A 12,168-nucleotide genomic window follows, 5' to 3' on the forward strand; every position below is an offset into this window, starting at 1 on the left:
CAGAACTCTCACAATACAATAAAAGGACAAATAATCCTATTTAAAAATGGGCAAAGGATCTGAACAGACATTGCTCCAGAGACAGCATAAAATTGCCAAGAGGCACATGAAAAGATGTTAAACATCATTAGCCATCAGGGAGATGAAAATCAAAACCATGATGAGATAACCACTTCACCCTGCTACAATGGTTATAATCAAAAAGAGATAATAAGAAGTGTTGGTGAGGATGTGAAGGAACTGCAACCCTCAAACACTGCTGGTGGGAATATATTTAAGAAAATGGTGTGGCCACTTTGGAAAACAGTCTGGCAGTTCCTCAAAAAGTTCAACATAGAATTATAATATGACTCAGCAATTCCACTCTCAGGTATATACTCAAGAGAAATGAAAACATATGCCCATACAAACTCACATACATGAATGTTCACAGCAACGTTATTCATAATAGCCAAGCACTGGGAACAGCTCTTATGCCTGTTAACTGATTAATAAACAAAATGTGACCTATCTATATCTACACAGTGAAATATTATTTATCAATAAAAAGGAATAACATATGTGCTACATCATGGATGAGCCTTGGAAACATTATGCTAAGTAAAAGAAACCAATCATGAAAGCCCACATTTTATGATTCCATTTATATGAAATGTCTAGAATAGACAAATCCATATACACAAAAAGTAGATTAACAACTGCCAGGGGATGGAGGGACTGGATGGAAGGGAGTGGTGATTGCTAAGGTGTGGTACGAGGTTTCTTGTTGGGGTGATGAAAATGTTCTACAATTGAATGTGGTGATAATTGTACAAATCTGTGAATATATTAAAAACCATTGAATTATATACTTTAAATGGGTAAATTATATCTCAACAAAGCTTTCTCTGAAAAAAAAAAACAAAAAACACCTAGAACTGTCAGAGATCTGCCTCTTACTAATGAGTAACCCTGGGCAAATTACTTACTCTGACTCAATTCGCTCAATCTTTAAAATGGGAATATCTATCTTAGACAGTTTTTCTGGAGTTAAGCATGACTAGTACAATGTTCTAAACATAGTAGGTGACCATCAAAATCATAAAACTCCAAAGTATAAAGTCTTAATTATAATGAAAATTATTATCTGGGCACCAAATATTTACAAATACTATTTTTTAAATGAGCACAGTGTGATTTGGAAGTATCATAGTTTTTAATTTCTCAAAAAGCAATAATTTTCCTCAAATATTTAAAATCCATCCTTTCTTGAGCTCATATGCTAAAATTTTGAATGAAAAGTGATCAAAAACTAAGTAATTTTCTATTATGTTTCTTAAAGTATAAAATTAAGAAAGATTAAGAACCTCCACTCTTTTCTCTGAAGATCTTTCAGACACTAGAGATATTTAATTGGCAAATTACTTGCACATGCCATTAAGTGGTTAGACTGAATTTGTTTTTACAAATTCTATGGACTCTTATTCCTTAACCTCCACCACACTATAATCTGAAATCATCAAGGTCTTCACTTATGCAAATTTTAACTTTCCATGTTTTTGTTTCCATACAGAATAACTAAATTAATGCATTTTAATTTCTAAAAGATTCACTTTTTGAAGCAGCATATCTATGAAAAAGAGTTTCTCATTAAAATAAAAAAGATTCATCAAGCTATATTATTTCAAACACTAAACCATAATCTCTCTCTCTTTCTCATGGATTTTAAAAATTCCATTAATACAATAAACACAAAAGGGATGTTTGTGTTAAACATAAAAGTAACCCCTCTTGGAGGCAAAGAGAGGACTGCTGAAGGCCCAGCATTTTATCTCTGAACAGTTTCATGCTTTTTCTAATGCATGCTAAATCCTCAAAGAAAGTTGTGGTTTTTCTCTAAGGGAAGTAATATTCCACCCTGCTGATATGGTTAACAACCAGCTTCTACGGCCATCATCTTTTAAGCAGGGAGCAAAAGACAAATTGTTGAATTCGTACATTAAATAACATAATGGAGTAAGTGGATGCAGACCTATCTCTACTGCCATATGCTCCAATATCAAGGTTGCCATTTCAAACCCTTTTGACAAGTGCCTTTTTACATTAATCACAGCTAAGGGTCTGAAGAGGAAAGACGTATTCTGGCTACAATTCAGAGTCGCTCAAGAAACTTCTAGGGGGAAAATGGTTGCCATTAAAACATAGTAAGTAGAGCATAAGTACTTCACATTAAAATTGAGTTCTCTATAATCCCCTGTAAACTTTTTATTATTATTATTCTGAACATGTAGGTACAGTGGTGATAGGTATCTTTCAAAAAATAAGCACACACACAGCCAAGCTGAGCCAAATATTATACTAAAGTCATATGTGGTATTGGTGTATGTAAAAATTAGGGCTAATTTAAAACTCTTCCAGTTCTGTACTTAGGGATGGAACTAGCCTGAGTTAAGGTCATGTGGCATTCAGGAAAGAACCCTATCCTTCTAGTGCCAGAAGTCAAAGTTGTGATTCTTATGAAACTAGTCACCTTTTCCCCTCTGGGCCTGTTTCCTCATCCATGAAAGAAAGCCATAAACTATACTCAGCCATTGTTCATTTGAAGTAGGAACTACATTCCCTTGGAGAGCTTGTTTAAAACACATTCCCAAGCCCCACACCCAAAAATTATGAATCAGTAGATTTGAGACAGAGCCAGGGAGTCCACAGTTAACCAACATTCTACACTATTACAATGAGAACCCATGGTCTACCTCATTGATAAGACTCCCTCCTCCTCTATAATCTGACAGATCTATCAATTCTCAAGATTCATACACTATTTAAGTCATCATAGTGACTGTGAGTCAACAACAACAACAAAATGGCTCAAGGCTGGCAGATATTTAGCGTAAGATATTAACCATCTGTCACACACACTAACTAAATCAACAGAGGGGCCAACTGAGATGTTTCCAATTATCTGCTAGAAAAAGTATTTTCAACTGGGTAGAATAAATCATTATTAGCCTTTCATAATATCAAAAGTAGGTCAATTAAAATGGTGTTTAGAGGCATATAGCAGACTGTGGCCACTCTCCAGATGTGTAAGCTTGCTTTAATCATCTGCTGTGTGTTAATTATTGTTAACTTTCATTACCACTAGAGAATACAACTAATGTTTTAAAATTCTTAAAGCATTACAGAGTCCTAATTCACTCTCTAAATGCAAATATAATATCTATATTGTTTTCAAAAACCTATTTCCTAAGCTAGTTTCCTTAGACGGATATTATCGAAAATTTTCTTGCAAAAGCATTAACATACATTTAACCCTACTTAAATGCTTCAAGAGCAGATGTACTACAAATGTACACCCACAGTGATCCCATATTAGTATAAAACTGTTTTATTTCAATTAAAATGTCTAAGTATCCACCCCCAACATATACCTAAACTGTAATTTTCTCTGAGAATTTCCAATATGTTCTTGATTTTGTTTCCTTTATCAACCTATCAGAGCAAAAACTGCCTTGCAACTGTTGGAAGAAATCAGTCATTAGCAGCAAGATTACAGCAAATTTTCCAATTTAGAAAAACTGTATTTTTATCTCTCTCTTATACCAGAAGAAGAATGGTATAATTTTCCTATCTTTAAATAAGCAGTACAGTTAGTTTAAAATAGTCAAATTTTCCTAGGACTCTAAGTTTCAGGATTTTATGTTAGCTTTCTGTTCTCTACACCTTCTTTCCTACTCACAAGTTCTCTTCACCCTTCATCATGCATGCACATGAACATGCACATACACACACACACATGCACACACAAACACACAGGTGCACATGCACACACAGGGACAGCAGCCCCCAGTCCAGTCTCTCCACTCCCTGACAGGCTTCTAAGGAACAGTTAACCTTCAGGCAGTAGTTAACTAAGGAGTGGCTTCACATGGTTATTTTGATTTGCTCTCCAACTGACATTCTTCCACCTTCTCAACAGGTCTGCCTTCTTTTCTCCCCCTCTCTATTTTTAAAATGGAGTGATGAAGTAGCAAAAAGTACAATATTTTAGCCATTTGAGCACGGGCGATTCTTAAATTATCCCACCAACTGGAAGTGCTCTCTGATACTACTATCTTTCAAAATTGAAGCCATTATGGTCAATCGTGCAAATCCGTATTTAGCTTTTCGTAAATAGTGGATTTTTGACCCAATGAACTGGAACAGTTTCTGGACAGTCTCTAGGATCTCTGAAAAGATACTCAGTACCCAGGCATGCCACAATTCTTATCAACATAGAGACTATTTACTTTCAAAACTCATACTGTTCTTATTCGAAATTCTTACTCTCTATTTGGGATGTAAGCATGTATAAGAGAATATACTCAGCCCCCTCTTTACCTCTCATAAAATAAAATCAAATCTACTGCAGGGCAATATTTTTCTTTCATCAAAATGACACATTATTTTTGTGAAACACCAAAATCAGAACCAATATTAATGAAGAACTTTCCCCAAGTAACGTTTCTTCTGATTCTTCACCACCTTCTCCCTCAGCTATCTTTTCGAATATTTCATTTTCGAAGTGTCTTTACAAAGACAGTAACAAATGACCTTCCTTTCCAGCAAGCTTAAAAATGATGGGTAAAGTCTGCCTTCTTCCAATCCAATACCAGCATTCCTCTAGCTTTATATATTTAATATTAAATTTGAGTGCTTAACTTCGAAACTTCTCATTTCCATACTTTTAACTCCCATCATTTTCTGCAACCTGAATCGAAGTGACTGAGTGGGTGTTTCCACACATTTCCTAATGTCATCTAGCCTACCCATTTTCCCAAAGCACACCAATTTCATCATAGCAGGTGTTCCTGGACACAATCTAAGTTGAACTCAGAAAGGGTCCCTCCAAACAATTACATCCACATCAGAGAATTAACTAACTGAGGACTCGCTTAGAATTAAGAATTAACTAGCTTAGAAATCGCCCCGGTTCTGTGGGTTTTGTTTAGTGGGAGAGACACAAGAGAAAAGTTGGTGCAAATATAATAAGTTTGCTAAACTACAATTTAAACAAAGTTAAATAGATTTATTTTTTCCGCAGGACTTCTCAGAGCCTTAATAAATTAAAAGTTCCAGGCTTTATGATTCTCTCTTAGGAGAGCCCTTTTCCACATGCCACTTATTAACATAAACAAGAAACGCTTCTCTATAGTTACTAAACTTACAATATATTTCAATAGTGAAGATTAAAGGACAAAAGGTCACTGTAGTTTCCAATAAAGGGCAAAACTGGACCAGTTTCTTTCAGACTCCATGCTAACTGGCAGAGCTGCAGTGGCGAGCCAGCCCAGGCCTCCCAGTGTGGCACAGGGTGTAGACTAGTTTCTTCCATTTTGGTCTTCATGAGAATCAGAACCAATTCCCTTTCAGAGGTCTCACTAGCCAGCCAACCAAACAGTTCTTTCTGTATTTTATTTTGTTTATTTATTTTTGAGACAGAATATTGCTCTGTCACCAGGCTGGAGTGTGGTGGCACGATCTCGGCTCACTGCAACCTCCACCTCCTGGGTTCAAGTTATTCTCCTGCCTCAGCCTCCTGAGTAGCTGGGACTACAGGCACATGCCACCATGCCCAGCTAATTTTTGTATTTTTAGTAGCGACGGGGTTTCACCGTGTTGGCCAGGATGGTCTCGATCTCTTGACCTTGTGATCCGCCCGCCTCAGCCTCCCAAAGTGCTGGGATTACAGGTGTGAGCCACTGCGCCCGGCTCTTTTTGTATTTTTAATAATTCGTTAGTTACTCTACATTTACTTCAGTTACAGAAAAATGTATTTTCCAATCTGTCTCTTGTATTATATATAGGTTGTCTGATACATTTTGTTTCTTCATATATCCAAAACCAAAAGGCATCCAAAAACTGATTATCATTACATTTTGAAGTCATACATAAACTATTCTACAATCAATGTCTTTAACAGCAATGCTGGAAAAGTGTTAAATAAGATATATGTCTACTAGTTCAACTGCCCCTCTATAAAAAGCAGCTTTTATCTTTAAAGGGCAGCTCACTGACCTCTGTGAGATTTGCTAAAACCTACACAATTTTTCCCCAGGAAAAAAAAAAAGCTCATTTAGACGAAATATTACAAACAACCATAGCCATTCACAGACTCCCTGATACTTATCCAGGCAAAGAGTTGAGAACCCTTGACTTTAAAGTTTAATTAAAAACTGCAGAACATAAACATGCACACACCATCATTACCACCAACACTTGTAATGAAATTGGGTTACATTCAGGTATTAAGGATAACTTTAAAATTGCACGTAAAACATATTTCATGAAATCTTGTTCAGTGTACTGAAAAATAAATTTAAAAAGTCAAAGGAAGAGAGAAACATGTAATAGCATAATGCAAGAAAACATTTGGGAGTTTAACCTAAGAAACTGGTATTGTATAGATCATACTTTGAATTTTCAGGGGGTCTACTTGTGACTTTCCTCAGATAAAAGCAGGTATTCAAGCTCTCGGCTAGGCACGGTGGCTCACGCCTGTAATCCTAGTACTTTGGGAGGCCGAGGCGGGTGGATTGCCTCAGCTCAGGAGTTCCAGACCAGCCTGGGCAACAACGGTGAAACCCCATCTCTACTAAAATACAAAAATTAGCTGGGCGTGGCGATGTGCGCCTGTAGTCCCGGCTACCCGGGAGGCTGAGGCAGGAGAATTGCTTGAACCCGGGAAGCAGAGCTTGCAGTGAGCCGAGATTGTGCCACTGCACTCCAGCCGGGGCAACAGAGCGAGACTCCATCTCTGAAAAAAAAAAAAAAAAAAAAAAAAAAGTAGTATTCAATCTCTCTGCTACTGTGGAGCTAGGCTATTAATGTGGTACAACAACTTAAGAAATATCAGTAAGTAGGAATAGGTAATGTCTTAAATTAGCATTATAAGATACATCACTGGTATATATGCCAAATAGTTCAGATCGACAGTTTCATTAAACACACCCACACATCCACACAGGTACTCTTTCTTAAAACCCACAATGGAAATGTTTTGCACCCCCCGCAACATTAAATAAGAAATACAGTAACAGGAAAGTGTCTGAGAAACTATCACTCACAACATGTCTGTACCAACCTGCTCACACACCAGGTAAGTCCTTCCAAACCCTGACTTTCAGCTCTTCCACTCACAAAGTGGGGTGACTATACGCTGGCTTCACATAGATACTGTGAAGCCTAAATAATGATCACTGGCATGGTACCCCTGGCTTTGCCCCACTCTAGTCAACTCAGCAAAAATCATCTCTTCCAAGCATCATTCTGATCCTATCCCTGTCCTCCAAAGACCTTGTAGTGACTCCTAATTGCTTCTCATATGAAATAATTACTCTTGCTTAAGGGCCCGGCCCTGTCGTTGGTGCCCTGACAACCACCCTCCCAAGTACTCAGGTCTCTTAAGCTGCACCCCTCAATCAAGGGCCTCCTCTACTATGGTTCCCCTCTATCCTCAACCTGGACACAGACCATCTCCTCACCCTTCCCTATCGTCCTGTGATTCTCCCCTTCAGTCAGAATTCTGTTCATATCAAAAGATAAAGCTTTTCTGGGTAAAACTCACATCGTGTGCATCTCAACAAGTTATCCAGATAGCTGGAACCAAGGCAACTTTCTATGTACACTGGTAACTCTAAGCCAGGTACGTTCTCTTCCTTATTACTTTCCACCATAGTGAAAAAAAATCGTAACTAATGCATTTGCCTATTGTTCTTTACTTCATGAAAAATATTAAATCCTTCTAATGTCTGATACAGACTGAGACCACAATGGGCTAACTGACACCTATCTGGATTACAGTGGGCTTGCTCCAAAAGCATGAGTATCAACACCAGAGGGAGGCAGTGTGGCACAGTGAAGAACAGTCAGCCAGGATCAGGCTGCTCTCCCAGCTCCATCACAGGCAACACTATGACTGTGGCCACTTACTCAACTTCCCCATGTCTATTTCCTCTACAGAAAATGAGAATTATAATAGTATAGACCTTCTAGGCTACAATAATTAAATAATAAATTATACCAAAAATACTTAGCCCAGAGGTTGGCATGTATTTTAAAATAAAAATGATGGTTACCTTACTTCTCTCATGAGATTATGTAAAACCACATATCTTGGGAACAGAACAAGACCAGTAGCTACCACCTGGTTCTTCTTCCTTTCCTTTGGCCCCCTTCCTCTCACCCATGGCCAATCGGGAGCCAAGTCATACAGATTAGCTCTCAGGAACAGCCCAGTGTGCAGTGGCTCATGCCTGTAATCCTAGCATCTTGGGAAGCCAAGGCGGGAGGATTGCTTGAGCCTAGGAGTTTGAGATTAGTCTGGGCAACATAGTTAAACTCACCTTTACGAAAATAAAAATAAAGTTAGCTGGACATGGTAGCGCCACCTGTAGTCCCAGCTACTCAGGACGCTAAGGTGGAAGGATCACTTGAGTCAGGCATGTTGAGGCTGCAGTGAACCCAGATCACTCCAGCCTGGGTGACAGACCTTGTTTCAAAAGAAAAAAAAAAAAGAAAGAAACCAAGAAAGAAAAAAAAAAGGAATGGCCCAGGTGGGGTCCCGAGATATGACTCCAGTCCAGGCCTCTGTTATTCCCAGCCTCCACTGTTTGTGGCACTTCCAAAGTGGCCATCACTTCCAGACCCCCACAGCTCCAACCCTTCATGGAATACAAAGCCCATATCATGCCAGTTCAGTATTAATGCATCTTTGGTCACTCCTCTAGATCTGCTCAGATAGCTTCCATGCTTTCTACCCACTTAGCCTGCTTTACATACAAACAGGATATTCTGACATCATATTTTTTGTATTTGTTTATAGTCTCTCTCCCTAAAACGTTCCTCAAATGTATCAAACAGACTCCGCGCTTAGAACCCGGGAAATGGCTATTATTTTCTGCCTGCGACAGTCTCCCCTCCTCCATCCCCATATCTACACGACCAATTACCTCACCTCTTTCAAAAAATGAAAATAAAATCTTTTTTTTTTGGTGGAAAAAAACACTTAACATGAGATCTACCCTTAATAGATTTTTAAGTGTACAAAATAATATCGTTAACTATCAGCACAATGTTGTGCAGGAGATTTCTAGAACTTACTCATCTTGCTTAACCAAAACTTTATGCCGGCTGATTAGTAAATCCCCATTCCCCCTCCTCACAGCCCCTGGTAGCCACCACTCTTTGATTCTATGAATCTGCCTATTTCAGGTGTCTCATATAAGTAGAATCATGTAATATTTGTCTTCTGTGGCTGGCTTATTTCACTCGTAGTGTCCTCAAGGTTCATTCATGTTGTCATGTATGGCAGGACTTTATGGCTGAATAATATTCTATGTATATAAATTTTCTTTACCCATTCAGCTGTGGATGGGCATTTAGGTCATTTCCACATTTGGCTGTTGCGAACAGTGCTGCGATGAACATGAGAGTTCTGATACCTCTTTGAGATCCTGATTTTTGGATAAATATCCAGAAGTGAGATTGGTGGATCATATGGTACTTCTATTTGTAAATTTTTGTCAGAATCTCCATAACTATTTTCCACAGGGACTGCACCAACACATTTACTATCTTACCCTTATAGAAAATGTTTGCCACCCGTGATCTAGTATAAAAAATAACACCATAAAAAAGAAAAGAAAGAAAAAGAAAACTATGTTGACATTCGAAACACTAAGTTTAAAGAGAAAAGACCTTAAATTTCAAAAACAAATTTGTGTAAATGTCTCCTCACATAATAGCACAGATTTATAATTAATATAATGACAGCTTATTCCCTTATTTATTATTTCTCTGCTTTGGTTACAAATGACTAGGCAATTAATATCATTTTTTCTTTCCTCTTCTTACCCTGCTTGTCTTCCACCATGATTTACTCCCTTTGAATACCCCTCCCATCCACTATGGTAACCAAAATTTGACAGTATTGGTAACATTCCAACTCACATAATTCTGAAGTTTCTTTAAATGTATTATATTCAATATGTAGTAAAATATATCTATTGAAATATTTATGAACTTTTAAGAAGGTAATACTTATTTGTTATCTCAAATATAAAATTCAGCTCACGTTTCTACTACCTTCCTTCTGAGGTACTTAGCACTGATTCATCCTTGGCAGTAGTCCTATCTGCAAAATTGTACACATGCACCAGCATCTTTAGATAACAAATAACATAGATGTGTTCCTTTCTCTTTCAAAATTTGTAGTGTTCATCAACTCAAAATTTCCAGAGTAGTGAGATATAGACAGACTAACACTTGTTATTAAATAAACTTTTATTTAAAAACTTTAAAAATTCTTAAAGGAATAAAACATTTATTTATACATATACATATAGATATTATACATATTCAAGGCAATAGCATGTGAAATCCCAGCAGGATGTTTGTGGAAATTAATGACTTACTCTAAAATTGTTTTGATAGTGAATAGGGCCAAGAATAGCCGAGATAATCTTAAAGAATAAAGTTGAAAACCTAACCAGATATGACTTATAAAGCTGTAGTAATTAAGATAGTATAGTATTAGCGGAGAATATACAATAATGTAAAAAGAATGGAGCATTCAGATACAGTCCCATACTGGATTTATGATAGTAGTACCACTGCAGTGCAATAAAGAAAAGAACCATCTTTTTAATAAATGGTGCCAGGCAATCGACATATCCTTGGGGAAGAGGGCCAGGGAAGAATCTTGACCTTTACCTTTAGTACCATGCAAAAATATAACAAATTCTAGAAAGATTAAAATGTAAATCTGAAAGGAAAGCAAACTTCTGGAAGATAACATAGGAGAATATCTTCCTGACCCGGAGGAAAACAAAGAATTTTTTTTTTCTGTTTTGAGCCAGAGTTTCGCTCTTGTCACCCAGGCTGGAGTGCAATGGCATGATGTCGGCTCACTGTAACCTTTGCCTCCTGGGTTCAAGCGATTCTCCTGCCTCAGCCTCCTGAGTAGCTGGGATTACAGGTGCTGCCACCACACCCAGCTCATTTTTGTATTTTTACTAAAGACAGGGTTTCACTGTGTTGGACAGGCTGGTTTCAAACTCCTGACCTCAGGTGATCCACCCGCCTTGGCCTCCCAAAGTGCTGGGATTACAGGTGGGAATCACTGTGCCTGGCCTAGATTTTTTAAACAGGACACAAAAAGAGCTATCCACAAAAGAAAATGCTGATAATTTGTACTACATTAAAATTAGAAACTTATGTTCCTCAAGACTCAAATGAGTTACAGTGCAAGTCACAGAGTAAAGAATCTGTGAAACATATAACCCTCAGAGGTCTTGTATCCAGAAAATACGCACATGACTGAAGAAGATAGCCAAATGGCCAATAAATATGGAAAAATGTCATATAACCCATTAGGAATCAGGGAAATAAATGCTCATTGAAGCCACACAGTGAGATATCACTAAAATAAAAATGGCTGATACCAACTGGCAAAGATCTAAAATAAAACCATCATGCAATGATGGCATGAGTGTTAACTGGTACCACTGAGAGGTGACAATGTGCTGGCAGTCCTCGCTCGCTCTAGGCGCCTCCTCGGCCTCGGCGCCCACTCTGGCCACACTTGAGGAGCCCTTCAGCCTGCCACTGCACTGTGGGAGCCCCTCTCTGGGCCGAGGCCAGAGCCAGCTCCCTCTGCTTGCAGGGAGGTGTGGAGATAGACCGTGTGGGCAGGAACCGTGGCTGCCCACAGTGCTCGTGGGCCAGCGTGAGTTCTGGGTGGGCGTGGGCTCCGCGGGCCCTGCACTCGGAGTGGATGGCCAGCACCGCCAGCCCTGGGCACTGAGGGGCTTAGCACCTATGCCAGCAGCTGTGGAGGGTGTGCTGGGTCCCCCAGCACTCCTGGCCCACCCACGCTGCACTCGAATTCTCACCGGGCCTCAGCTGACTCCCGGCGGGGCAGGGCTGTCAGGAGCTGGAGCCCGCCATGCCCAAGTCCCCCCAACCCCGTGGGCTCCCATGCAGCCTGAGCCTCCCCAACGGGTGCCGCCCCCTGCTCCGCAGCGCCCAGGTCCCACCGACCACCCAAGGGCTGAGGAGTGCAGGCGCATGGCGTGGGACTGATGGGCAGCTCCGCCCGCAGCCCCAGTGCGGGATCTACTAGGTGAAGCCAGCTGGGCTCCTGAGTCG

The 12,168-nt window shown here is 39.3% G+C and overlaps 1 protein-coding gene and 1 non-coding gene across 8 annotated transcripts in view; both read right to left on the bottom strand.

The window, feature by feature from the left end:
• Positions 1 to 12,168, bottom strand: part of SLC25A13 (solute carrier family 25 member 13) — a 201,879-nt gene that overhangs the window by 96,792 nt on the left and 92,919 nt on the right. The window lies entirely within an intron of this gene.
• On the bottom strand, positions 2,651 to 2,745 carry MIR591 (microRNA 591). The gene has a single exon (NR_030322.1). It is a non-coding gene; the product is annotated as a microRNA 591 (primary transcript).

This window comes from Homo sapiens, chromosome 7 (genome assembly GCF_000001405.40).
Source record: "Homo sapiens chromosome 7, GRCh38.p14 Primary Assembly".
In the NCBI taxonomy this organism is placed as follows: Eukaryota; Metazoa; Chordata; class Mammalia; order Primates; family Hominidae; genus Homo; species Homo sapiens.